Below are 25447 nucleotides of genomic sequence, written 5' to 3'. Positions count from 1 at the left end.
AAGAGAAAGTTACTATCAATATAGAATTTTATACCTAGCTAAACTGTTACTCATTCAAGAGTGAGAGGAAAATATATATACTTTTCTATAATAATTAAAAGAAATTATAGCCCATGTTCCAGGTAAAAAATTTATGTGGAATGACATCACATTGAAAATTACAAAAGTTTAGAACTAAACTACAAAAGCACTAAATATCTAAGCAATAATGACTATTGCTATGATGTATTGCTTCCAGCTGTGAGCCAGGCATTATATCATATTAGACATTTCCCAACTAGCATATCTCTTAGCCCTCAAAGTCATGTTATTAACTAGTTAGTGTTAACTCCTTTGTAAGAATTAAAAAAGCTTTTGGGAGAACAAGGTAACTATACTCTTATGAACTAAATGTTTGTGTCACTCAAAATTCATATGTTAAAATGCTAACTCCCAATGTGATGGTATTAGGAGGTAAAGCCTTTGGGAGGTAATTAGGCTTAAATGAAGTCATGAATGTTGGTCTTTCATAATGGGGTTAGTACCCTTATAAGAAGAGGAAGAGACTGTAGAGTTTCCTCTCTCTCTCTCTGTCATTTGAGGATACAGCAAGAAGGTGGCTGTCTGCAAGCCAGGAAGAGAGCCCTTACCAGACCTGAACATGTTGGTATCCTGATCTCAGACTTCCATCCTGAAAATTGTGAGAAACAAGTAAATGTCTGTTGCTTTAGCTGCCCAGTTTAGTATTCTCTTATAGCAATCTGAGCTAAGATGCATGCACAAAAATCTGGGTCTATATGAAGATAAGGAGCCAGTGAAGGTACAGATGGAATTTTATTGACACTTGAGAACAATAATAGGGGGCCTGAGCCAGGTACACACAGCTGTTTGACAGGGAGGAGGTGGACAGCATTCTAATTCAGAGGTATTTCATGCTAATGATTACTTTTCTCCTGCTTACCTTTCTCTAAGTCTAGCCCAAGCTTTCCTCATTTGAAATACAGTTGACCCTTAAACAACATGGGGTTGAACTGCTTGGGCCTACTTATATGCAGATTTTCTTCTGCCTCTGCCACTCCAAGACAAGACCAACCCCTTCTCTCCCACCTCCTCAGCCTACTTAATGTAAAGGCTATGAGGGTAAAGACTTTTATGATGATCTACGTCTACCTAATGAATAGTAAATGTATTCTCTCACTTACAACTTTCATAATAACATTTTCCTTTCTCTAGCTTACTTTATTGTATGAATATAGTTATAATACACATACAAATTATGGCCAGGTGTGGTGGCTCATGCCCATAATCCCAGCACTTTGGGAGACCAAGGCAAGTAGATTGTTTGAGCTCCAGAGTTCAAGACCAGCCTCGGCAACATAGTGAAACCCCATGTCCACAAAAAAATTAGCCAGGCATGGTGGCTCACACCTGTGATCCCAGCTACTCAGGAGACTGAGACAGGAGGATCACTTGAGCCCAGGAAGTTGAGGTTTCAGTGAACTGAGATCATGCCACTGTACTCCAGCCTGGGCAACAGAGCAAGATCCCATCTCTAAATAAATAAATAAAACAAATTATGTGTTAATTGACTGTGTTACTAGGGCCTCTGAACAGCCAGGCAAATACTTTAGCAAACCTCAGAGGTGCTGGTCTGATAGGTCCCGGAACTGGCTCCCCCTTCCTTGGAGGAAAATGTACCCCTTCTCTGAAATCAAAAAAGAGCACAGGGTGCTTTTCAGCATAACTAACAACCCCCAGGACTGGAAGAGGGGAGTCTTCTTGCTTCCTAACACTGACAGAATTAAGAGTAATGAGGAGACACTTCATTTCTCACTTGCACAGCCTCATGTGGAAATGAACTGAACAAAGTAAGTTTGCTGTTAAATCTTATTCTCTTGGATCTAGAATGCATTTCTCCTTATCCCCTCTCCTTCTCCCCCTGTCCCTTGCCCCCACTTCTCCACCCCCAGTGTCCTCTAAATCCTGGGCACACCTTCCCCACTCCCAGCCTGCAACCCCAGGCATCTGGCTGGTGATGCACCACACAGCCTCGTCCTTCCCAGCCCAGCTCGTCTGGTGTCCCAGCTGCTCATTTTCTCAGCCACTACCCAGGCTAGCACCCGAGTTTGCAGCAGACCTTGTGTAGACCATCCTGCCCGGGTGACAGCTCTCCCCAGGCCTCCTCACAGAAGATGCAGCTGTCTTCCTGAGTGGCCACGTGTGGACTGCATCATCTTCCGGTGCTCATGACTCCCAGTTGCTTATTACATAAAACCCAGCCTCCTTAGCAGAAGCTTGCGTCTTCTTTCAGCCTCACCTCACCCCTTCCTTCCCCCATCACTGTTTTTCCTGGGCTGTGCTCTCCACCCCACACATGATGCAAGGCCACCAGCGCCCTCCCTCCTCTGATAGCTGGCTTCAAACTCTGACCCCAACCCGCTCCCTGCCTCTCCTTTGCGACCCCCTCATGGCTCCTCTGATATCCCCTCCAGCGCCCCCTACACCCAACATCTAGGTCCTCGGAGCTCTCCAGAAGCATGGACCATCTGCCTCACTCTTCTCCATGCCCCTTAATTCCATTGTCAGTCCCTAATAGGAAACAGAAACTGAAAGAACCATGACTGTGCCCAGCTTGCCACAGGCCTCAGCCCACTGTGCCCAGTACCTCCCCGGTACCCAGGAGAGAAAGCTAGCAGATTCTGGCTAGCAGAAACTGCTTGTCCAATGCGGCCCAGAGCCCAGGCCCTGCTTCCCAATGACAGTCTGCTGCTCAAATATCCACCTGGAAATACTCGTGACAGTGAGCCACAAAGATCTGGGGACCCCTACAACCTTCTAGGGAAGTTCTTTCCTTCATTGCCAGACCACTTGCTAAATGCCAGGCCCTGCACAGAGCACAGAGGCGCAAAGCTAGAAAGACAGAGCCGGCCTTCACGGGACCCCCAAGGCAGCAGGGTGGACCAGCAGGTATACAGCTGTGACTGCATGGTGGGAGGAAAGTGGCCTTTGGGAAATTGGCTTTCAGGAGGCCAGAGGCCTGCTCCCCAGTGGGAGGTTGTGGGGGTCTGTCCCACAGACCCTGACCCAACGATGGATGAATAACGTACAGTGACACAGATATTCTGCTTGTCAGTCCAGTTAAGGGTCTGGGCCCCTCACAAACACCAAGGAAGGTGCTGTAAAGAGTAGCAGCCGTGGCCTCAACTAGCTGGTCCTGCCAGCATTTATCCAGCACACATTAAATGACAAAGGCTTTGAGTCAACACACCTATGGGTAATTAATCTGGTTGCCCTCCCCCAAAGACAGCCATCCTGCCCACGAATGGTCAAAGGTTAGTCTTAGGACCACATGTGTAAACATGCTATTTAGATAAACTCCCTTATATGCCTTTGTATCTGCGCCCTAAGCTCTTAGGCTCCTGAAAAGAGAATCTGGCTGCCTTCAGCCAAACTATCTGAAGCTATGCAGAACTCCCCAGCCTTCCAAGAAGATTTGTGTCTATATCCTATAACTCCATCTAAAATTTTTTCCACCAGCCTGACTGAACTCCCACATGAGGTGCCACAGAAAATGAGAACTGGGACGAGAGGAAAACAAGCCTGTTGCTCCCAACCCCTTTACACAGGGAGGCCCACTTATTCTCATAGTTCGGAGCCAAGCATCTCAGGGCACCCACTGGAAAAGGAAACTAGAAAGAGCTTCCACCTCGAGGGCTTACAGCCAAATTGACACGGAAGTCCTCAAAGGACCACACCTTCCCTCCAAGGAGCAAGGTCTCTGAGCCAAAGACCAGCCCCACCCATTCCTGCCTGACAGTCTTCGGAAGTCACCCAACCTCCTCAGCCTCCACTGATCTACAGCAGGAGGCTGCGGGACTGCATCTCAGGGTCTTAAGTGAGAGCAAAGTACGCATTTGGTAAACAGCAGCTAATGGCCCCTGTGGATGTGTGGTTGTGCGGGTGTTGTGGTTGCTGCTGTTGTGGCTTGTGTGGTTGCTGCAGTTCTGGTAGTTACTGCACTTGTGGTGTGTGGTCAAATGGCTGTGGTTGTTGCAGCTATGGTTGTTGTGTGGTTTGTGGCAGTTGTGGTTGTGAGTTTGCGTGGTTGTTGCAGGTATTCTGGTTCCTTCATCACAGATGGAGGAGGAGGCCAGCCACTGGGGAGGGGTGGCCTCTGAACACCTGGCACCAACTCATCACACAGCAGCGCCAGGCTGTGCCCAGACAAGCAAAGAAAGGGGAGGGCAGAGAAAGGAAATTCTCTTCAGATGAGTGTATGTCAGAAAGGAAGCCCCACAGCCCTCTCTGTGGCCATGGGTGACTCCCTCGCACTGCTGTGTAGGCCTCTTATCTGGAGCTGAAGCGAAGTCCAAGTGCTTGAAAACCTGAAGGTGCTCCTGCTTGCAGCACCTCTGTTCCCAGGAACATGCTCCTGTGCAGGAACCCATTATGGGCACCACCAAAAATAGACCCTGCCCCATCCCATCCCACTGTCCTGAGATGCCCAAGCAAGCCCAGCAGGTAAACTGATAGCCCCAGGGTGTGGGGACAATGGCCTTGGATCACACCAAAGGCCCAAGTGCAGGGTCCAGCCTGCTGACCACCTCCTTGACCCTGGACCCCAGAATCAGAATAAGACAAGGTGGGCTGGCACAGCCCTCCAGTAGGCAGGACCTGGGCATCTCCTGGCTCACCTTCACCCACCATTCATGCAAGAGCCCTATGAGTGGATCAGAGCCATGGTGAGGCCACACAGTGTAGCCAGCACAGCAGGCGGAGACCTTCTGCCCCTGGTACCCAGGCTGGAATTTTACAACTGCCTTAGGGAACTCAGGTCCTAAGCAACATATCCCCCTCCCCTGCACCCTGCTCCTAATCATACGTTTATTGAATTTTTAAAAAATATATAGATAATATTTCATGTGACCCAGTAGTCATATGCACAGAAGGAAATACAGTGAAATATCCCCTTCCCATAGTTTCTCTTAATCACCCAGAGATAGTTTATGAAAATACAAACAAATATGCCCAGGTATACATACAAAAGAACATGATGTAGTAATGAGAGTAAAAATTCTGAAGCCAGACTGCCTGAGTTCAAGACGTAGCACTGTCCCTCACCAGTTAGTATGTGACCTTGGACAGCTTCTCTGTGCCCCAGTTACCCTCATCCACAGAACAGGACATAATTGTGGTACCTACCTCACAAGGGAGGTTCAACACTATATATCAGCTCTCACTGTCACATATGTTCTTTCCCATTCTACAGAAATGATAGCACACTTTTGCACACACTGTTCTGCACCTTATTTTTTCACTGTGAAGTGTATCTGGGAGGTTATTCCCATATCAGTACATAAAGAACTTCCTTCGAGGGCCGGGCAAGGTGGCTCACGCCTGTAATCCCAATGCTTTGGGAGGCCGAGGTGGGTGGATCATGAGGTCAGGAGTTCGAGACCAGCCTGGCCAACATGGTGAAACCCCATCTCTACTAAAAAAATACAAAAATTAGCTACTCGGGAGGCTGAGGCAGGAGAATAGCTTGAATACAGGAGGTGGAGGTTGCAGTGAGCTAAGATCATGCCATTGCACTCCAGCCTGGGACAGAGTGAGACTCCATCTCAAAACAAAACAAAACAAAACTTCCTTTTTTTTTTTTTACTTGCATTAAAGATGAACTAATCTTAATTTTTTTAGAGCTGCATAGTATTACATTGCCTCAACATACAAGAACTGATTTAGTTGCTGCTTTTCTGATAGACATTTAAAAGGTTTCCAGTCTTTTACTCTTTCAAACAATGTTGCAGTGAATAACTTGGTACATACTTCATTTTGTCCAAAAGTGACTAGGATAAATTGCTAGGAGTAGAAAGCTAAACAACAGGTGTGTACATTTGTCATTTTTGTCACCTATATAGGCTGTATAGATTTAGTGTCCCGTCGGCAACGTATAAGAGTTTCTGTTCTTCATACCTTCACCAACAGTATATAAACAAATTTTTAATCTTTTGTCAATTTGTTAAGTAAAAAATGATAAATGCTATCTCTGTTGTTTTATTTTACTATTTCTCTTACTATGAGTAATGTGAAGCAGCTTTGTATATGTTCATAAAACACTTGTGTTCCTTTTTCTACGAACTCTCTGTTCATACCTTTTGCAAATGTTCTTACTGTATAGTATGTCATTTTTCTTGTTGATGAAGAGAAGGTCATTATGCATTAGGAATATTAGCATAATTTTTCTGGTTTGACATTACTCTTCTGAACTGACTTTTGTTCTTTTTCCCATGCATAATTTTAATGCAATAGAAGTTATTGTTTTTTTCTCTATGGCTTCTGTTTTTAGTGTCATACTTTGGAAGTTCTTCCCTGTTCCAACATGGTCATTAGATCCTTTTTTACTCTCCCAAACTTGTTTCTATCATTTTGAAACATTTAAATCACTGACTTCTCCTGGTATGTATCCTAATATAAGAAGTGAGATCTGAATCCAACTTAATTTTTTTCCAGATGGCTACCCAGTTGTCTCAACACCATTTATTGAATAATTCATTTCTTTTCCTGAATGATTTGAAATGCCATCATTATCAGAAGCTAAACTCCCAATAAGTTTTGGTTTATTTCTGGACGTCTTATCTCATTCCAACTCCAAGATGTCCTACACTATTTTATTTATTGTAGGTTTATAATATGCATTACAGTATATCTTGTAGGGCTCATTTCCCATTGATTTTCATTGCTTCTTTTTTCATATGAACTGTTAGGTTTCTTGGGATTTCTTTTAATTTATAGGTTAACTAAGGCAAAACTGATATTGACTATGATGTTGAGTCAGTTTTTGGCAAATTATATTTTCCCAGAAAAGTATCCAATATGTCAGGCTTTACAAAGTTGAAACTGACCACCCTCAGTTTCAATAATTTGCCAGGACTCACATAACTCACTAAAAGCTGTTACATTGTGGTTAATGGTTTATTATAGACAAAGGATACAGATTAAAATCAGGCAAGAGAAGAGGCACTTAGGGCAGACTCCAGGAAAGTTCCAAGCACAATGCTTCCAGTTGCCCTCGCCCTGCGAAGCCATGGAAAATGCTGCTTTCCCCGGCAGCAATGTGTGACAATACACACAGAGTATTGCCAAACAGAGAAGCTCACCTGAGCCTTTGTGTCCGGAGTTTTTACTGGGGCTCAAGAACACAGACATAATTGACTGTCCATGGGGCTGACCTTTCCTCTCTGGACCCACAGGAGGTAGAACAGATACCATGTGCCCCCAGCTCCCATCATAAATCACATGGGATTTGACTATCCAGGGTGGCCTAAGGCTCCCAGGTAGACAAAGATACTCTTATCAGGCAGGACATTCCAAGGGTCCAGAGCTTACCTTCCAGGAGCCAGGACAAAAGCCAAACCTCTCTTTGGGTAAGGTTAATTCTTAACTACATAAGTTTTTAAATTTTCTTACATGTAGTTCAGCAAAATAGTCCCTAAGGATTCTTTTAATTTCCTTTATCTGTAGTTATTGTCCCGTTGGTATTTCTTTTTTTCTTTTATTTTTTAAGAGCAGGGTCTTGCTCTGTCAACTAGGCAATAGCATGATCATAACTCACTGCAGCCTTGAACTCCTGGGCTCAAGTGATCCTTCTTCCTCTGCCTCCCAAGTAGCTGGAGCCACAGTCACACACCACCACACCTGGCTATTTTTTTTTTTAATTTTTTTAGAGACAGCATCTCGCTGTGTTGCTCAGACTGACCTTGAACTCCTGAGCTCAAGTGATTCTCCCACCTCAGCCTCTCGAGTACCCCTTAGCATTTCTTATTTGTGCTTCCTCTTTTCTTTTCTCTCAAGAGGATTAGCTGACAATTTAGAAATCTTACTGTTTTTTCAAAGAATTTTATTTTGAATATATTTATTATGTATCAGTTTATCAATTATAAAATATTTTTGTTTTTTAATTAATTGATTTCTGTTTTAACATTTATTAATTCCTTTCTGCTTTCTTGACATTTATTGCCTTTTTTCTAACTACTTCCATTGGATGCTTATTTCATTTTCTCATTCCTGTTTAATTTTTTATTAATTCATTATAAGACTATGCATATTAATCAGAGTTATCCAGAGAAACATAACTAATCGGATATCTATGTAGATATGTATTAAATTGTTATGAGGAATTGGCTCACACAATTATGGAGGATGAGAATTTGTAAGATCTGCAGTCAGCAACCTGGAGACCCAGGAGAACTGATGATGTCATTCCAGTCCAAGTCTGAGGGCCTGAGAACCACGATTGCTTATGATTTAAGTTCCAGTCCAAGTCTGAGTCTGAAGACAGGAGAAGATTGATGTTCCAGCTCAAAGATAGGTAGAGAGAGAGAGAGAAGATTCTCTTATTCTGCCTTTTTGATCCATTCAGGCCTTCAATGAATTGGAAGAGGCTCACCCACATCAGGAAGGGCAGTCTGCTTTACAATCTACCAATTCAAACACTAATCTCACATAGAAACACCCTCAGCCAGCATGGGGGCCCACACCTGTCATCCCAGCACTTTGAGAGGCTGAGGCAGGTGGATCACTTGAGCCCAAGAGTTCAAGACCAGCCTGGCCAATGTGGCAAAAACCTCATCTCTACTAAAAATAGAAAAATTAGCTGGATGTGGTGGTGCACACCTGTAATCCCAGCTACTCGGGAGGCTGAGGCATAAGAGTTGCTCAAACCTGGGAGGCAGAGGTTGCAGTGAGCCAAGATCATGCCACTGCACTCCAGCCTGGCTGACAGAGCAAGACTCCATCTCAAAAAATAATAATAATACAAAAATTAGCCAGGTATGGTGGCATGCCTGTGATCTCAGCTACTCAGGATGCTGAGGTGGGAGGATCGCTTGAGCCCAAGAGATGGAGGTTGCAGTAAGCCAAGATCACGCCACTGCACTCCAGCCTAGGTGACAGAGCAAGACCTTGTCTCAAAAAAATAATAATAATAATTTTAAAAAAGAAACACCCTCACAGACACACCCAGAATAATGTTTGACAAAATATCTGGGCACCCTGTGTCCCAGTCAAGTTGACACACAAAATGATCCATCACACTACGCATTTTCCTCTGGACACTGCTTTAACTGTACCTCCTAAGTTCTGGTAAGTGATGTTTTCATTATTGCTGTTTTACAGATAATCATTCCATCTTGAAAATGTCTTGTGGCTTACAGCAGGAATATTTTGCTACTAAATTTTGACCAAGAAGTAGGTACAACGACTTGCCTTTTCATATGAGGTTGACCTGATTCTTATGAGGCCAATATGAAGGTGAACCAGAACCTTCTCAGGGCCCAGAAGTTGCTTTGAAAAAATTCTCTCAACACTTGAAAAACTCATTTAAATATCAATGGAAACACACACCTACCTGCCTAGATGGGTTTCTTAACAACCAAGGTCAAAAGTTTCCCTATTGGATCTTGAATCTAAGAGGAAAAAAAGAAACCACCAACTCTTTCTCATTCAAATGTTCATAAATAATAATATTATTAACAATAATTATAATAGCTACCATAAGGCTGGGCACGGTGGCTCACACCTGTAATCCTAGCATGCCTGTAATCCTAGCATTTTGGGAGGCCGAGGCAGGTAGATCACCTGAGGTCAGGAGTTCGAGGCCAGCCTGGCCAACATGGTGAAATCCCGTCTCTACTAAAACTACAAAAATCAGCTGGGGGTGGTAGTCGGTGCCTGTAATCCCATCTACTTGAGAGGTAGAGGCAGGAGAATTGCTTGAACCCAGGAGGCAGAGGTTGCAGTGAGCCGAGATTGTGCCACTGTACTCCAGCCCGGGCAACAGAGTGAGACTCCATCTCAAAAACAAAACAAAACAAAACAAAAAAATAGCTACCATAATGCCATCTGATGTATGTTTTCAGTGCTTTACATATGTCATCTTATTTACATTTTACAACAGTTCTAAGATGGAAATATCACTCTACATTTTAAAGATGAGAAAACCAGGCTTCGAAGGGGTTACATAACTTACTTAGGATCACACTTCTTTCTAAGTGGAGAAGCTAGGATGTCACACCAGCTCCGATTTAAAACCTGTGTATTTTTTCAGGATAATACCTTGCCTCTTTTGCACACTCCTCTGCCCTGACTTACAGCAATAAGATGGTTCTGCCTCTCATGACAAAACTTATTTTCTAGGCAGAGCAAGTACGTCTGCTGTGGTCCACTCTCAATTAGGTAGAAGTCCAGCCTGGAATTGTGGCACTGCAATGCAGCAGGCCACCTGGCCACAGAAGGCCTTTGCCTGTAGAAGCCATATGGATGAAGAAGACTCTGAGCCAAGCACTAATGCAGAGAGGGGATGGAACAGGGGTGGGGGCTGGGGAAGGAGGGAGCTGGCACAGCTGCTTCCGAAGGGGACGTTACGATGGGCCATCAGTATTGACCACTAAGCCTGAATGTGCTGGACACACCAGTCACCCATGCCAAGCCCATTAAGTTCATCTCAGCTGTCTGGCAACTGCCCTCTAATGAAACAAGCCAACAACTTCCTATATTTGAGGTTTCAGTTAGTGTTGTTGGCCAAGTTTCAGTGGGAACCAGAGAAGACGACCACACGGGGGCTGTAGGCCCTGAGAGCAGCAGCCCAAGCCGACCTCAGAGCGCCTGCCAGCTGGGCAGATTATCAGCGTCCTGCTGCAGAGAGATAAGGAACGTTCTGATCCAGCCCCGAGAAGTGCAGGGCTTTATATAGCAGCTTGAGTAGGCTGCAAGGGAATGTCCTGGCCGAAGGCTTCTCCGTAGCCAAGAGAGAGGGGAGTGGGTGGAGAGGAAGGCGGGAGCTTTATAAATAACCCGATGTGTGCTGATCTGCTCAGCGGCCTTGTCTTAGCAAAGCCTGAGGCCTGGGGGAGGAGAGGGACATTTACAGATGACTTTTATTTTCTTTATCACTTCTCTATATTTTCTAAGTTTTCTACGATGAACTTGAACTCCTTTTATAATCAGCAAGTATGAATACAATTTTAAGAAAGCAAAAAAGAGAGGCATAAAAAGAATTCCTTTGGTTGGAGATTTTAGTGACCATCTTTACCCACTCAGAGGTTCCCAAACAAGCCCCAGTGCTCTCCTCCCTTCTCTGGTCTCTCCCATTGGGCCCCCTGGGGTGCCTGTACTCACCTATGATGCAGGATCTGACCAGTTTTCTTAGCTCCTCCCGGGTTCCCGCATTCCCCATACTCTCCCCCTGCTCCCACTAATCCAAATGTGGCTGTCCTTGGCCTTATTGTTTTTAAAAAAGGTGTCCAGGTCCCTCATCTCTGCTAGGGTACATAAGGGTTACTTGGGTATGTCCCCTGTGCCTGCTACACTAGCTTAATAATGGGTAAAAAGCCATGGAGTCCCTGTACAGAGTGTGGTTTATACTCTCTGTGCCTCAGGGTCCCTTTTCTATAAAATGGTGATAACAAGACCACCTACTTCATAGAGGTCACATTAAGATTAAAATAAGACAGTGGATGTAAACTGGCTGACACATTGGAAATGGCCAATTAAATATTAACTAATTATCACTCCACTGAGCATCCCTCCTCACACTCAGGCCCTGAATGACCACACCTACCAAATGTGACCAGACAGATTTTCACTGTTTCCAAAAATAACTCCTCCCAGGAGGTGTGAAGATTCACCACTGCAACTCTGGCACTGATTCAAAGCAGGAGTTCCAAAAATGTTTTGCGAGGTGACAGGCTCCCAGAATCACAGTCAGCCTTCACAGTGCCCCTTATACGGCTGCAATCCTCATTTGGATGTGTGAGTCATGGTAGGGCTACCACATAAACAGATAAATGAATAAACATGTTGTGACTTTGTAGTAACGACCTCATGTAAGCTAAGTTCAGCTCATGACTCTGGGGCAATTTTTAGGACACAAAAGTAGATAAAATATCAACCGATCCCTATTTTTTGAGCAAGCGCTATGTGCAAAAAGGCACGGCGCTAAAATGCAAAAATGGAACATTTTAAAAAGATGAAAGCTTCTGCTTGGAAAGAGATTACACCCTAATCGAGGAAGTAAAATGCAGATACAGGAATAGAAAGCACACTCAGCAAAGCAAGATATGATCCATGGAGGTGATAAGGTGGAGAGTTCAGAAGAGCACGCCCGCTGGGTTCTGGAGGTCAAAGCAGCCTCGTGGAGGAAATTAATACCCTTGATAAGTGGATGCCAGGCCTTGTAGAATTCTGATGCAATCAGGATAGAGTCTGAGAGAAAGGGTCTCACATGTCAATGTCAACAAAGCATGGTGCTAGGTACTCATATAAGTACATCATCTTTTTTTGATCTTGACAAGAATCTAGTGTGATGTTACCATTCCCATTTCACAGATAAGAAGACAGTGGCTCAGAGAAGCTCAGAGAGGTTAAGTTATATGCCCAAGGTCATTCACAGCAGAGGCAGGATTCAAACCAGGTTCTACCCGGCTCCACAGTCCATATTCTGGCTTCTACCATCTGGCACTGCTATGGCCTCCCTTAAATCTGGCTCCCAGAACAGACCTGGGCTGTCTGTGACCAGGAGCAGGGCTTTCATTCCATGGCTGTGGCCTTTTAGTAGAGAGGACACTGCCCAGTGTGGCTGACAAATTCTTTGGCAATATATTGACTTTACATTGCCTGCCAGTAACATGGGCTAAGGTGTAACAATTTCTAAGCCTAGATCAAAGTCACAATTTTGATCACAGGTTACAATTTTGTATATTTAATCCCCTGCTTCTACTTTGTAGTATTTTTGTCAGTTCAGCAATTCACCTCTTTTATCACCACTACAATCTATAATAAGCACATGGATTTTTCAGGAATGACATAGGAATAAGATAGAAATAAGCTTTCAGAGGTGACCTTTGCCCCCAATTTTCAGTCATGTGGACTTGGAGGATTTTTGTGATATAACAAATAGCACCTGTTGGTTAGCATTGGAAAAGTCCCCAGATGCATCTGGGAGCAGCCAACATCAGCACCAAGATATTGCCCATATCCACTGGTGTCTTGCCGAAAGCCCACCCAACACCAATATCACACAAGCCTAAGCTTCACATTCCCCAGGCCATCAACTAGTATTTATTGAGTACCAGGTTCATGGTTCTTAAAACCAGCTGGAAATCACAATCCAGTAACCCTAACTCAATCCCAGCTCAGACTGTATAACCATATTCTAATCATGAAGGGAATCTGGGAGGCTCTCTAAAAGAACAGAATTTGTCCCCTCTGAAACTCATGTTGAAACTTAATCTCTAATGTAACAGTATTAACAGGAGGGGCCTTTAAGAGGTGATGGGTCAGGAGGGCTCTGATTAATAATTAATAGTTAATGTGATTAATGGATTGATGGGCTAATGGATTAATGGGAAATCAGGGGAGTGGGTTTGTTATCACAAGAGCGAGTCTGTTATTAAAAGCCAGTTCAGGTCTCTCATGAGCCCTCCACCATGTGATACCCTGCACCACCTTGAGCCTCTATGGAGAATCCCCACCAGCAAGGCTCTTGCTCAATGTGGTTTCTTGACCTTGGACTTTCCAGCCTGCAGAACTACAATAATTCCATAAATTTCTTTTCTTTATAAATTACCTAGTCTGAGATATTCAGTTATAGCAACAGAAAATGGACTAAGACAAATGGGAACTGAAGCTGGGAGGGAGCCATAAAACCACTCCCCAGGGAACCAGGGCAGGGTCATTTCAGCCATGAAAAGCCCATTGCAGACATCTTTCCTTCAGCTGGGAGCCCAGTGTTGGGGAGAGATTGAAATAGATACCATCCCTCTTTCATGAACATATGAATAACAAAACCGATTCAGGAAATGTGACTTAGGGACACAGTAACCGTGTGCTTTCTAACACTGCATCCCAGGATCAGGCAGACTCGCCCTTCCACGCACTAGCACAGCTGCATCCCCGAGGCCTCCCACCGTGAGGCCTGCCTCACTAAGCACCTGGCTGAAAGCAATGATCATACTCTCTACAGGCAGGCAGATCCTAAGAGAGGGCCCGGAAGTGGCTGAGCCACATAACCTCAATTTCCTTTACAGGCTCACTAAGCAGTTCAACTACTAAAGAAAATAGAGTAAGAGACAGAGAGAAGCTAGGAATGTCACCCTAATCAAACTCCCTCATACGGAAATGTGAAAAGAGGAGAAAGTAAGTTCCTCCTCAACACTCATCCCAATTCCATTCTAAGTACACATAAGCCCCTTTTCAAGCCTCCCCAAAATAATATTATGAGTCAGGCTTTCAAATGATCAATAAAATTCACAACTTGCATAGAGCCACCGCTCATTACACACATACATGTACACATAAACATACACATACACATACACATACACATACACATACACATACACATACACACCTACTTAAGCAGGCCTGGGAAGCCTCCTACATGGAAGGTGAAAATGTCCAGTTGCTGAAGATAGGTGAGCTCCTCTGTGACCCCGTCTCAGAAGTGGACAATAAACATTTCTGAGCCTGGTCTGCTCTCTTGCAGCAGTCTAGGTCCAGTCACTGTCTCTTTTGCTTAAAGATGAGTCCATTCATTCGTTCATTCTTTATTCAATAGATATTTATGGAATGCTCACTATGTGCCAAGCACTCTGCGAGGCTGATTGTTCAGGAAACTGAAAAGCCAAAGGTGTTGGCAAACAGCAGCCCCAAACCAACCATTTGCCCAGGCCAGATACCTATTCATCATCCTTGACTCCTCCCCATCCTTCAAACCCCTTATCCAGTAGTCAGCCACCAAGTCCTGACATTCTAGGATTCAAGCATTTGAAAACCTTCCACTTCTTTCCATTCCTTCTGCTGTTCTTTGGTCCAGACCACCATGTTCTCTTCCTTGGATTGCTGCAGCAACTAGCAATTGATTTCCCTGCTTCTAAACTTGCTTTCATCCAGTCTAATTGCCACACCACGGTGTGAGTAAGGAATCTGGCCTCACCTAAGGAGAGATCTGGCATTCGTCCCAGCTCCTGGGAGGTAACCTCTAAATCCTTGCAATTTCCCAAGTGATAGGAGTATCTGTGTTATTCGTGGTGGGTCCCTTATTTAGTATGAGAGGACTCAGTGTATGGGTTGACCATGCCAGAAGGACCAACCATGTGGTTAGGGGGTTGGGGCTTTGGGCCTCATGATATCAGCCTGACCTCTGGGAAGGGGAGGAGGCCTGGAGATCGAGTCCACCCACAAGAGCAAAAATTCGATCAATCACAACTAGCTAATGAAGGCTCTGGACTTCATTATAGTCCAGTAAAAACTGTATGACAAAGCTTGAGTGGACTTCCTGCATAAATGTTGTCACATACAATGCTGGCAGGGCACTGTATCCTGAGGACACAGAAGCTTCATGTTTGAAACCCTCTCAGATTCTGCTGTATGTGTCCCTTTCTTTGACAGGTTCCAATTTGTATCTTTTTATTATAATAAAACTGTAATCATAAGTATAGCTCTTCCCGGATTTCCATGAGTTGTTCTAGTGAATCATCAAACCTGAAGGTAGTGTGGGAACCCCTGAATTTCTAGGCAACTTGTCAGAAGAGAAGGTGACCCTGAGGACCTCCAAACTTGGGGCTGATGTCTGAAGTGAGGGCAGTCTTGTGGAGACTGTGCCCTTAACCAGGAGTATGGCTAACTTGTTGTACACAGTCAGGGAGCTTTTCTAAAATGGGATCATGATCATATCACACGTCTACGGATCACACTTGAGGGATGTCTCGCTCTCCCTAGGACGAAGTCCAAATGCCTAAATACGGCTTCCAAGACCTCTGATGATCCAGGCCTGCTTAGCTCTCCATCTCACCCCCACCCCATTCCCCCTCAAACTTGACATTCCCACTTGCCACTGGCCAGGCGCTCCGTGCTCTCTCACTTTTCCAGACCTTGGGACATGTGGCCACTCATCCCGTAACATTCCCTCCACTCCCTTCTCTTGGCTGATTCCCATGAGTCCTTCAGGTGTCCACTTAGCGGTCACCTCCCTGGCACACCTTTCCACATACCTCCACCCAGTCAGAGCTAGATGCTCACGCCTCTCAATGCACATAGCTCACATGCTGAAGTGCCCTGGTCACTGTCTCCCACTCCAGACCATGAACTTTCTGACTATGAGGAATGTGTTTTCTTCCCTGTTATATCCTCCAGTGCTCAGCCAACTGACATACAATTCCAAAGAGATAAATAGCATTGTTACAAGGGAAAACACGGCAGACATCAAGGTGAATAGTGTTGAATGAATGAACTACTGCAGAGGAAGATTTTGGAAGGCTCTTCATTCTCCTTCATGGAGATGTGAAAGATGCCTGGAGTCAATTATAAGTCATCTTCCAAGACAGTTCCACCCACAGGTAGTTAATCTCATTTATTTGGGGCTGCTTTTTGTTGGCTTCAACCTCAGAGGATAAACAAGTTTGTTTTTGTTTTTGTTGCTGTTGTTGTTTTTGAGAAAGGGTCTCACTTTCTTGCCCAGGCTGGAGTGCAGTAGTGCAATCTCGGCTCACTGCAACCTCTGCTTCCTGAGCTCAAGAGGTTCTCCAGTCTTAGCCTCCTGAGTATCTGGGACTACAGGCATGAACCACTAATGCCCGGCTAATTTTTTTGTATTTTTGTAGAGATGGGGTTTTGCCGTGTTGGCCAGGCTGGTCTTGAACTCCTGAGCTCTAAGTGATCTGCCCACCTCAGCTTCCCAAAGTGCTGGGATTACAGGCATGAGCCACCGTGCCCACCAGGATAAGCTATTTTTAACTTTGTCTCCCAAATTTTGAGAAGTGTCCTGTTCTGAGGCCTGAATGCAACTCTGAATTGCCCTTTGGGCATTTCTTTGACTCCTGATCACATTTCTGATAATTTATATTTCCCACTCCACCCCATCTACAAGGTTTTAGGGTATTTGTGAAGAAAGGAGTATCAACAATGTACTACTTTTAAACATAAATAACTAGATTATGTATTAAAGTCATATTCATCACTGATTCGTACATGCATGAGTATATACTTTCTTATTGATATCTGTACTTTCTTATTGATCAATACTTGACAAAGCACTTGCTGGCATAGGCAAAATGGCATCTCCTTCTTCCTTTTGGCATTCAGTTAAAACAATCCACACAGGCTTCATCTTCCTTTCTTCTCTTTTTCCTTCCCCTCCCTTCCTGGCCTGGAAGAGTCACATAGGGCCCCTATGGGGTACTGACAGAGAGGGGGCTGCTGTGTGGAGTTCACTGATGATATGCCTGCTGGCACCTAAGGATACAGGGCACTAGAGGTGGGGACAGGGAGTAGAGGTGAAAGACACAGCTGCTGTCATTGGGAGATTGATTACGTTACAAAAATAAGTAAACTTATTGAGCAAATAAGTACATATCTTGAGGATAATGACAGTCCGGTTTCTTACTGTTGGAGAAGAGAATTACAAATATAGAAAAGAAGGAAACTATAAAGAACACTGAGGTGGATTGGAACTGGAGGTGTGAGTATCATCGACTTACTGTTTTCTGATATATAAACACAGGTAGATATGGAAATAGTTGTAGATGTGTGTATACACCTGTGAGTGTACATATGCACACATATATTTCCTAGATCTGTCCACTCAACAGGCCTAGAAGCAATGACACCTCAGTAACAAGAAGCACACTAAGGGCTCAGATTTTGGTTCCTAAACACCATCCTCCACTACAAGAAGGCAGGGCTCCTTGGAGAAAGAGCTAATTCCAGGCTGGAGAAGGAAAAGTACCATGATGAGCCTTGGTCATTTTGTAGTGCCAGAAAGTAAGACAGTGCTGAGAATGGTGGAGATGTGTCAGAAGGAGGCAGGAGCCAAGCTGAAGGGACTCCACTGGCCATATCTGGAGCAATGTGAACATCAAAATAAACAAGGACGGCAATGGAATACAATCCATTGAATAAAACAAGATTCCCTACTGAAATAAATATGCAAACGAACATAGAAAATGGGAAAGCTTTGTATTACAGTAGCCCACCAACTAATAAAATGAAAAGGAATGATGGAAATAGAAAACCATAATTTGGAAACTGTCATAGTTGTGGTTGATTCTGGCAGGAGACATCAATGGAGGCTAAGATTGGGAGATGCAAGTTTGATAAAGAACAGGATTACCTCCCCACAAAATGCCATCAATTTAAAGGGGGTAAATGGGGTCTTTATAGGAGAGAAACCTGGCAGACAAACGTTGGTACGTGACTGGTGATCAAAATAAACAGTTCCAGTTGTGGAATGGATTGACATCCTATGTCTCCTCCTTCCACCCCATGCAATTTGCTGAAATGAGAATAGCATCATTTCTGTGGTGTTCTTATCAAGGGAGCATGACCCAAGTCTGGACACCAGGACATTAGACAGACCCAGGGACGTCCTGCAGAATGAAAGGTTTGTACTCTTTAAAACAGTCGATGACATGAAAGACAGGGAAAGACTAAGAAACTGTTTCAAATTGGAGAAAACTAAAGAGGCACAAGAACCATGCAACTTGTATTCCTGGATATGATCTTGGACTAGAAAGGAAAAAGAGACATTGTTGGGACAGCTTGAAAATTTTGAATGGGGTCTGTGGATTGGATGGCAGATGTGTCCAAGTGCAAGCCCTGACTTGAAAGGTTCTATGGTGGCTATGTAGGAGATTATATAGTCCTAGTTCTGTAATAAATGATTTAACATGGCCAGGTGTGGTGGCTCATGCCTCTAATCCCAGCACTTTGGGAGGCCAAAGCAGGCAGATCACTTGAGGTCAGGAGTTCAAGACCAGCTTGGCCAACATGGTGAAATCCCCGTCTCTACTAAAAATACAAAAATGGCCCTGGCATCGTGGCGGGTGCCTGTAATCCCAGCCACTCAGGAGGCTGAGACAGGAGAATCGCTTGAACCCAGAAGGCAGAGGTTGCAGTGAGCCAAAATTGCGCCACTGCACTCCAGCCTGGGCAACAGAGTGAGACTCTATCTCAAATAAATAAATAAATACATAAATGATTTAACAGTTTGCCAAGGACCAAGGGAACAGCTTCCTCACTTCACGCAACAGAACATATAAAGATACATTTGAAACATCTTCATCCTTTGTTTATTTTCTAATATAATATGCTGAACTCCATCTAACATCATGGCATGGCCCCAACATCCTCTTTGGCCATTTGTCTTTCAGTCTATCGCTAAGAATTTATCTTCTTCCTGACCTGCTACTTCCTGGTTTTCTAACTTCAGGAGCTTTTTGTTCATTGAGGGTGCAAGCTTTTATTCTGCCTTGAAGCACTCTCCCCATTAGCTAGGAGATTTTTTGACAAGAAAGGTGTATCTAAGCCCATTTTCTGTAAAATCTGTCATTGCCTAAGTGGTACCCTGCTGCTTGAGTCCTCATTCGTCTCCATGGCAATGTTCTGAAACTAGTCTGCTTGTGTAAGTTCAAGGCCCATCAAATTATTTACCCTAACAGAGTCTTTGTATCCCACCAATGCACACACAGACACATTCAGTGCATCATAGCAGCAACCTTCAAAAACGTAGCCACAGTTTGGTTTATATTCATTTCAGAAACAACCTCATCTTTTGAACTGGATAGTCCACTCATCAGCTGAGCTTCGTTTACTCATCCATTCATTCATGTGTGTGGGCTTAGTGAGGGGTGACATAAAAACTTACCTCTTCCTTGGGGGCTGGAGTAGGAATCAGGGATGGCTTCATGGAGGAGTAGTTAGCTGACCACTGAAGGAGAAGGGCTTTCCTGACAAAAACAAAGCACAAAAGCATGGAGCTATGAATGAGATGACCAGGCTGGGGAATGGGGTGAAGGAGGGTGGTAATGAGAGGTACAGAGGAGAGGCAAGAGAGAAGGATGGGAACACTCTCCTAAGTATAAAATACTGAGGAATTGGCACTTTTCTTTAAGGCACTGAGGAAGATTTTAGGAGGAAATGCAGCATCCTCCGATTCATGTTTTCAAAAGCTCTCATTTGCTGCTGCACTGAGGTTTGATTAAAGGGTAAAGTCTCAGGGGCAGAAACACACTGACGAGGGCCTGAGCACACCACAGAGTGAGGGTGCACGGTGGAGATTCAGGCACCACTTCAGAGGCAGGCTGGGGAGGACCCAGTGACCATCAGATGGAGGAGAGAGGGACACTGCAGGGATTTCTGAGCCTGTTTAATGTCCAAGAAGGGAGAGTGTGGGAGAGAAGATAAAGAGTTTCATTTGGTACAGTTTGAGGAGTCTCTGAGACATTTAGTAATAAAATTAGATTTTGGCACACCCCCTGTCCTCCAATTTCCCCACACCCTTCATTCTCTATCACAGGGATGAAGCAACCTGATGAGCTAATCTCCACTGAGGTTGAATTAAGATTTAAAGGTTTAACCTGTGACTCCCCCACAGGAATTGCATTTTCATTTAACAGGAGTACCACTTAGCCAATCTTAATCAAAGGAAGGACTCTCTTTTAGCAAAATTCCAGGCAATGTGATGAGCAAGTTGGGGAGATGTTTTCAGGCAGGGAGATCTGCCAAACACCCCTCATATCACATGACAGAGGCTACAGCTACAAACTGTCTTAGTGAAGAGAATTCCCTGTTGAAGTTTCCCCTTCATTCCAAAAAACCCAGTTCATCCCATAAACAAAGGGATCTTCCTCCAGGCAGGACGATGATCTCTTATGGTGGGGTGGCGGGACAGCAGATGTCACAGAGGCCTGGGGTCACTGAGTTCAAGTCCTGGGTCTGCCATTTATTGCTGTATAATCTTGGGCAGTTATTTAATTTTTCTCTAAGACTCGACTTCACCATCCATTAAACAGGAGTTCAGAGCATTTGCCTCTGAGGCTGTTGTGAGCCCAGATTTAAATCACATGGTCACTGTAAACACTAGTTCCTTCTCCTCCCACCCCCAACCCTCACCTCCCCAACTTATTACTTCAGACTTGAAACACCATCAGTCATTCTCACTGCCTCCACCATTTATCTCAGTGTCTTTCAACACCCAATTCACTTAGAGAAGCCTAATTTTCTTCCTGTTCATGCGCTATTAGCTGCTCTGACAACTCTAGGTGATGAAAACCCATTTGTGTGGGACAGGCTGAGCCTCCACACCCAGCGGAGCGGGCTGTGTCTGCGAGCCGCCTGCAGGGGGCAGCATCGGGCAGCGTAAGGCAACGCCAGGGCTCCCTTGTAAAACGCTGGGGTCGGTCTGGGGAGGGCCGCAGAGAAGGCGTTTCAATTCAGACTCCAGCTGACAAAGGATCCATTTTACTCCATGCGGGTCTGACGCAGTCTGTCAGAGAGTCAGGTCTTTGGTAAACAAGAGTGCAGGGAGTGGCTATCCAAAAGCAACCCCGACCCGCGCAAGTCCAGCAGCGTTTTTCCCAAACCCACACCGGGACTAGGTTACCTTTTAATAAGCACGGGTGAGAGAAGCAGAAGACATCTCCTTATGAACTCACGGGGCCCTTGTTGCGGATGCGCCTTTCACCCCCAGTGAAGTAGTGGGAGAGAGCCCTTGACAAGGACAAGAAGGGGAGCTTAACCTCCCCCTCCCCATAAGCATTTTTAGATTTTCCCACACACTCAGCCCCTTCGAGGAGTCCTGGAGAAAACAAAAGAAACAGACACAGATGCTGATTCTAAAGAAGCTATTAATATTGTTGAAAAGACATGCAGATGTGAAGCTGGGATGCAAGGGTACACATGATCATGCTCTGTTTCTGAGAAAGCCTGGTGGCTCCGTGTCCCCAAAGCCCCAGGATGCACAGGCCAACCTGGGATGAATTTCTATGATTTGTGAATTTGTTGACGTGGAAAAACAAAGGGGCAGAACGTTTAAAATCAATCAAGCCTGCCCTGGAAGTCCAGAATATGGGATCGCCGAAGGGACAGATGATCAGAGCTGTAGGAATTTGAGGAAGGGAGCTATTGATGAATGTGGTGTTAAGTGGCCTGGACAAGCCAGTGGACTTGGTCATTCCTGAGAGCCTCGGGCCTCTGTGCCAATGAGAGACACTCATCACCCACTCTCCTATTGACTTTGGCTGGGGAGGGGAACTGCTATGTCACCATGACATCATCACCTTCCAGGAATCATCGAGTCAGCCTCAGCCCTCGAGGCCCCGGAAGTGGAGGCCCCAAGGCAGGACCCACTCACTTCCTCCTAGCCAAAGGCCAGGGGAGAAGGGGCTGCTCCCCACAGAGCTTTGGGCCTGTTTTTCACCACCCTCTCCCAGTACTCAAGGCAGCCAGGACCTGACCCAGGGTAGGTCAGCTTTGCAAAGAGACAGACATCAGCATGGTGCCAGCTGCACCACGCCCACCCACACTCTCACACTGTGGGAGAGAGGCCCCCAGTGGAGAATGGCAGTGGCTGAGAGTTGAAATGCAAGCATCCCTGGTAGAGGTCGGGCTTGTAGCTTTACCAGTCCTTCATACCTCCTTATGTACATGAGCTTCTAAGGGAAAAAATGTGATGGAGGAAGGAATTAGGAATGAAGTAAGAGGGAGTGGGGGCTGGCAGGAACAAGTGCAGAAAGCCGAGGTGGGGAGGGCTAAAAGGAAACCTGTGCCCACTTCATAGCTGAAGGTCACTGCAGATCTGGTGTCACCTGCAGATAGTCATGGGGGGAGGCAGATCGGTCCAGGCCCATTCCTTTCCGGAAAGACAGTGAGCACCACACAGCTCAACTCATCCCATGGCCAGAAGCCCAGGTACAGCACCAGAGGGTATCCACCTGTGGCCCTCAGGGGGTGACTTCCTCTTGCCCTTTCCTCCAGCATAGTCACAGGTGCCTCCCCCATCTTCCCCATATCAGAACTTTCCCTTCTCTGCTAAGAGGATTCAAACCAGTATCTGTCCACACCACATCAGCATCTGTTTCATCTTTTCATTAAACTCAGTGTTCCATTGCTCTGTAAGCTGGTCTTAGGAAAAAGAAAATTAACCAGTAGGCAATAATACGATTTTCTAGCATGGCAAACATCCTATACTCCTCCTACCCCCACTAACACACACACACACATACACACACACACGTGTGCACACACACAATTGGCCATGTTTACTACATTGATTCACTTAATGCCAACAACACCCTGCCAGGTAAATATCTCCATCTTCCAGCTGAGAACACTGCAATTCAGAAAGGGAAAGGAAGTTCTCCAGGGCACACAACTAGTGAGTGACAAAGCCAGTCTCAGAAGCCAGGTCCGTCTGTCTCCAAGGAGCTGGGATCTTTGCATTTGGGTACTCTGACTCAAAATAGGAGCCTCCTCTGCCTCTGAGTCAGAAACTTTAAAATTAGAATTTCATTCAGCGATTCACAAAATCTTAAGGTTGGAAGAAATGTTGAAGGTTGTCCAGGTCCATGACCCGGCAGACATCTGCCTCTCCTGCATAGCAGTGTTCTGGCTTCTGCTTGGATGCTCCATATCCAGGAAGTGTCCTGGTTCAGCCCATGCCGGTTTAGAATTATTAGATGGTTCTAGTGGTTTTGGAGCTGAACTCTCTCCCTATAACATCCATGCATTGGGTCTCCTCTTGGGAACATACAGAACCTAAGCAGTGTCACCCCTAAATTCTCTTTCACCAGACTGTGTGTTCTCAAGTCCTTGCAAGCTGCTCTTATGTGGAGGTTTCTCCCCACTCTCCTCTGTATGGGGGTCTGGTTTGTCTGTTCAGTCTCGAAGGGAGACCCAGCATGACTGTAATTCTCCGGAAGGGAGCTGACCAGCCCTGAGAAGAATGGGAGCAGGTTCCACTGAGGAGACTGTAACTTGTTCATTTATTTACAGATCTTAATACACTGGGGACTCATTTTGACCTTATTATGAATGAAAACCCTTAAATGCCTTTCCCATATGCTGTCCCTAAGCCACACCCTTTCCTGCCCCTGTGCGGCTGGGTTTGAGATGTTTATAACCTGTTCTCTCGGGTTAGGCAATGGCCTGAACATGCTCTTGTATGGTCTGACCAGCCCCCTGCTGCCCGGGCCTCTCCTCAGTGCTCCCTGGCACTGCTGACCCTCTAGGGCCCAGCCACATCCTCCCTCTGGCCCTGCTCTGGTTGTCCACTCTGAGGCTCAGCCATGGGGCCTCCTAGGCCCACCTCTGCAGCATGCTGGCTCTTAATTCCCAGCCTCCTTATGCCCCGCAGGAGGCACCTGGGAAGTCGCGGATACACCTTCATGCAGGTCGTGGAGAAGCAAGGGCCACTGTCTCAGCCCTTCCTCTGACAGGACACAATTTGCCAGCATTTCCACCATGCCGGGGCTGCCCTGCAGACACCTGCAAGGGACTCTCTTCCCAGATATCCAAATGGGAAGTAGGCGGCAGGCCCCTCTACTTTCTACCTCCTATCTACCTATGTAGGCTGTTTCTACCACCTTGCCCCTACCCTTAGTTCATGGGTGGTGGGTGGGGCACACAGCATGGTACCCTGCTCCCTCATTGTGTCAATCTCCCTCCAAGCCTCTCCCAGCACCAGCTGGGTTTTTCTTCCTTCCTGTGGGGCAGGCACTTCCTTTGTGTGGAATCCTCTGTTCTCTCCACTGTGGCTTCACACATCAAGCCATGCTCAGATCCCCCCAGCTCTGCTCTGGATTTACAGAAGGGATCTTCTTGGAAAGTAGAAAAAATATATCCCTCTTATTAACCAGGCTCTCAAAATTATTGACTATTAGCTTGCTATGGACTTTTTAAAATCTGGTTTGAAACACAAAACTGAGGAAGGCTTCTCTGTTCTAGGATGTCTGGGGCTTCCCTAAAGCCACTAAACCCGTTGATTCAGTGAATAGGAGCACTTGATTACTGAGAGTGAAAATCCATTGTTTTAATATCTCAGAGATAATACTTGACTTCTTTCTCACGGCCCTAGACAAACATCTAAAGAACTTGCTCTTTTTGCCTCTTATATTCATACGTTCCTCTCCCTTTACCACCAAGTCCTTCACGTGTCCTGAATCTGTTTCTCCCAGGACTCTACTTGACTCTTCATAAACATACCCCTAACTTATTTTAGGGGATTCTCTTTCACTCATTAGTCATCCCACCATGTGGCACAAAGGTCACACCTCCAAAGGTGTGCCGGCATCTGCTCACATCACCGTGTTTTCAACACAGGCATTAGCATATTTAAAACCAATTAAACTGTGATTATTTTCACCCCAGCCACATTACTCTCAACCCACTTAAGATGGGTGGGAAAGTGGGGTTTGTTTGTGTTTAAACCACATAGCCCAATTTATTACAAGCATAGATGCAGCCCTGGCAACATAGTGAGACCCCATCTCTACAAAAAAATTAAAAGTTAGCTGGGCATGGTTGTGCATGTACCTGTAGTCCCAGCTACTGAGGAGGCTGAGGAAGGAGGATCGCTTGAGCACAGGAGTTTGAGGCTGCAGTGAGCTATGATCATACCACTGTACTCCAGCCTGGG

General features: G+C 45.4%; 11 annotated features.

The window, feature by feature from the left end:
• Positions 3169-3463: a silencer, noted in NCBI's record as "tiled region #5219; K562 Repressive DNase matched - State 9:DNaseU". NCBI's record gives its function as "represses a minimal TATA promoter and a strong SV40 promoter by Sharpr-MPRA in K562 cells {active_cell/tissue: K562}" and the evidence as "EXISTENCE:reporter gene assay evidence [ECO:0000049][PMID:27701403]".
• Positions 4052-4171: an enhancer, noted in NCBI's record as "active region_2184". NCBI's record gives its function as "activates an Ori minimal core promoter by ATAC-STARR-seq in GM12878 lymphoblastoid cells {active_cell/tissue: GM12878}" and the evidence as "EXISTENCE:reporter gene assay evidence [ECO:0000049][PMID:35858748]".
• Positions 9298-11903: an enhancer, noted in NCBI's record as "VISTA enhancer hs1862". NCBI's record gives its function as "enhancer in: heart[6/6]" and the evidence as "EXISTENCE:transgenic organism evidence [ECO:0001131][PMID:17130149]".
• Positions 10527-10811: a silencer, noted in NCBI's record as "fragment chr1:181122141-181122425 (GRCh37/hg19 assembly coordinates)". NCBI's record gives its function as "represses an EF-1alpha promoter that drives an FKBP-Casp9 reporter gene in an ReSE screen in phorbol 12-myristate 13-acetate-treated (for megakaryocytic differentiation) K562 erythroleukemia cells {active_cell/tissue: K562(+PMA)}" and the evidence as "EXISTENCE:reporter gene assay evidence [ECO:0000049][PMID:32094911]".
• Positions 10651-10860: an enhancer, noted in NCBI's record as "active region_2183". NCBI's record gives its function as "activates an Ori minimal core promoter by ATAC-STARR-seq in GM12878 lymphoblastoid cells {active_cell/tissue: GM12878}" and the evidence as "EXISTENCE:reporter gene assay evidence [ECO:0000049][PMID:35858748]".
• Positions 13791-13850: a silencer, noted in NCBI's record as "silent region_1608". NCBI's record gives its function as "represses an Ori minimal core promoter by ATAC-STARR-seq in GM12878 lymphoblastoid cells {active_cell/tissue: GM12878}" and the evidence as "EXISTENCE:reporter gene assay evidence [ECO:0000049][PMID:35858748]".
• Positions 21693-22193: an enhancer, noted in NCBI's record as "H3K4me1 hESC enhancer chr1:181110759-181111259 (GRCh37/hg19 assembly coordinates)". NCBI's record gives its function as "activates a minimal SCP1, AML or CMV promoter by ChIP-STARR-seq in primed H9 embryonic stem cells {active_cell/tissue: H9 hESC(primed)}" and the evidence as "EXISTENCE:reporter gene assay evidence [ECO:0000049][PMID:30033119]".
• Positions 21693-22694: a biological region, named in NCBI's record as "H3K4me1 hESC enhancers GRCh37_chr1:181110258-181110758 and GRCh37_chr1:181110759-181111259". NCBI's record gives its function as "regulatory_interactions: IER5".
• Positions 21840-22389: a transcriptional cis regulatory region, noted in NCBI's record as "candidate enhancer chr1.10177 targeted for multiplex CRISPR interference". NCBI's record gives its function as "positively regulates IER5 gene expression with high confidence in K562 cells {active_cell/tissue: K562}" and the evidence as "EXISTENCE:mutant phenotype evidence [ECO:0000015][PMID:30612741]".
• Positions 22194-22694: an enhancer, noted in NCBI's record as "H3K4me1 hESC enhancer chr1:181110258-181110758 (GRCh37/hg19 assembly coordinates)". NCBI's record gives its function as "activates a minimal SCP1, AML or CMV promoter by ChIP-STARR-seq in naive and primed H9 embryonic stem cells {active_cell/tissue: H9 hESC(naive and primed)}" and the evidence as "EXISTENCE:reporter gene assay evidence [ECO:0000049][PMID:30033119]".
• Positions 22205-22284: an enhancer, noted in NCBI's record as "active region_2182". NCBI's record gives its function as "activates an Ori minimal core promoter by ATAC-STARR-seq in GM12878 lymphoblastoid cells {active_cell/tissue: GM12878}" and the evidence as "EXISTENCE:reporter gene assay evidence [ECO:0000049][PMID:35858748]".

The sequence above is a fragment of the Homo sapiens genome, chromosome 1 (genome assembly GCF_000001405.40).
Source record: "Homo sapiens chromosome 1, GRCh38.p14 Primary Assembly".
NCBI lineage: Eukaryota > Metazoa > Chordata > Mammalia > Primates > Hominidae > Homo > Homo sapiens.
The sequence above is the reverse complement of the archived record's forward strand: the minus strand, read 5'-3'. Positions and strand labels throughout refer to the sequence as shown.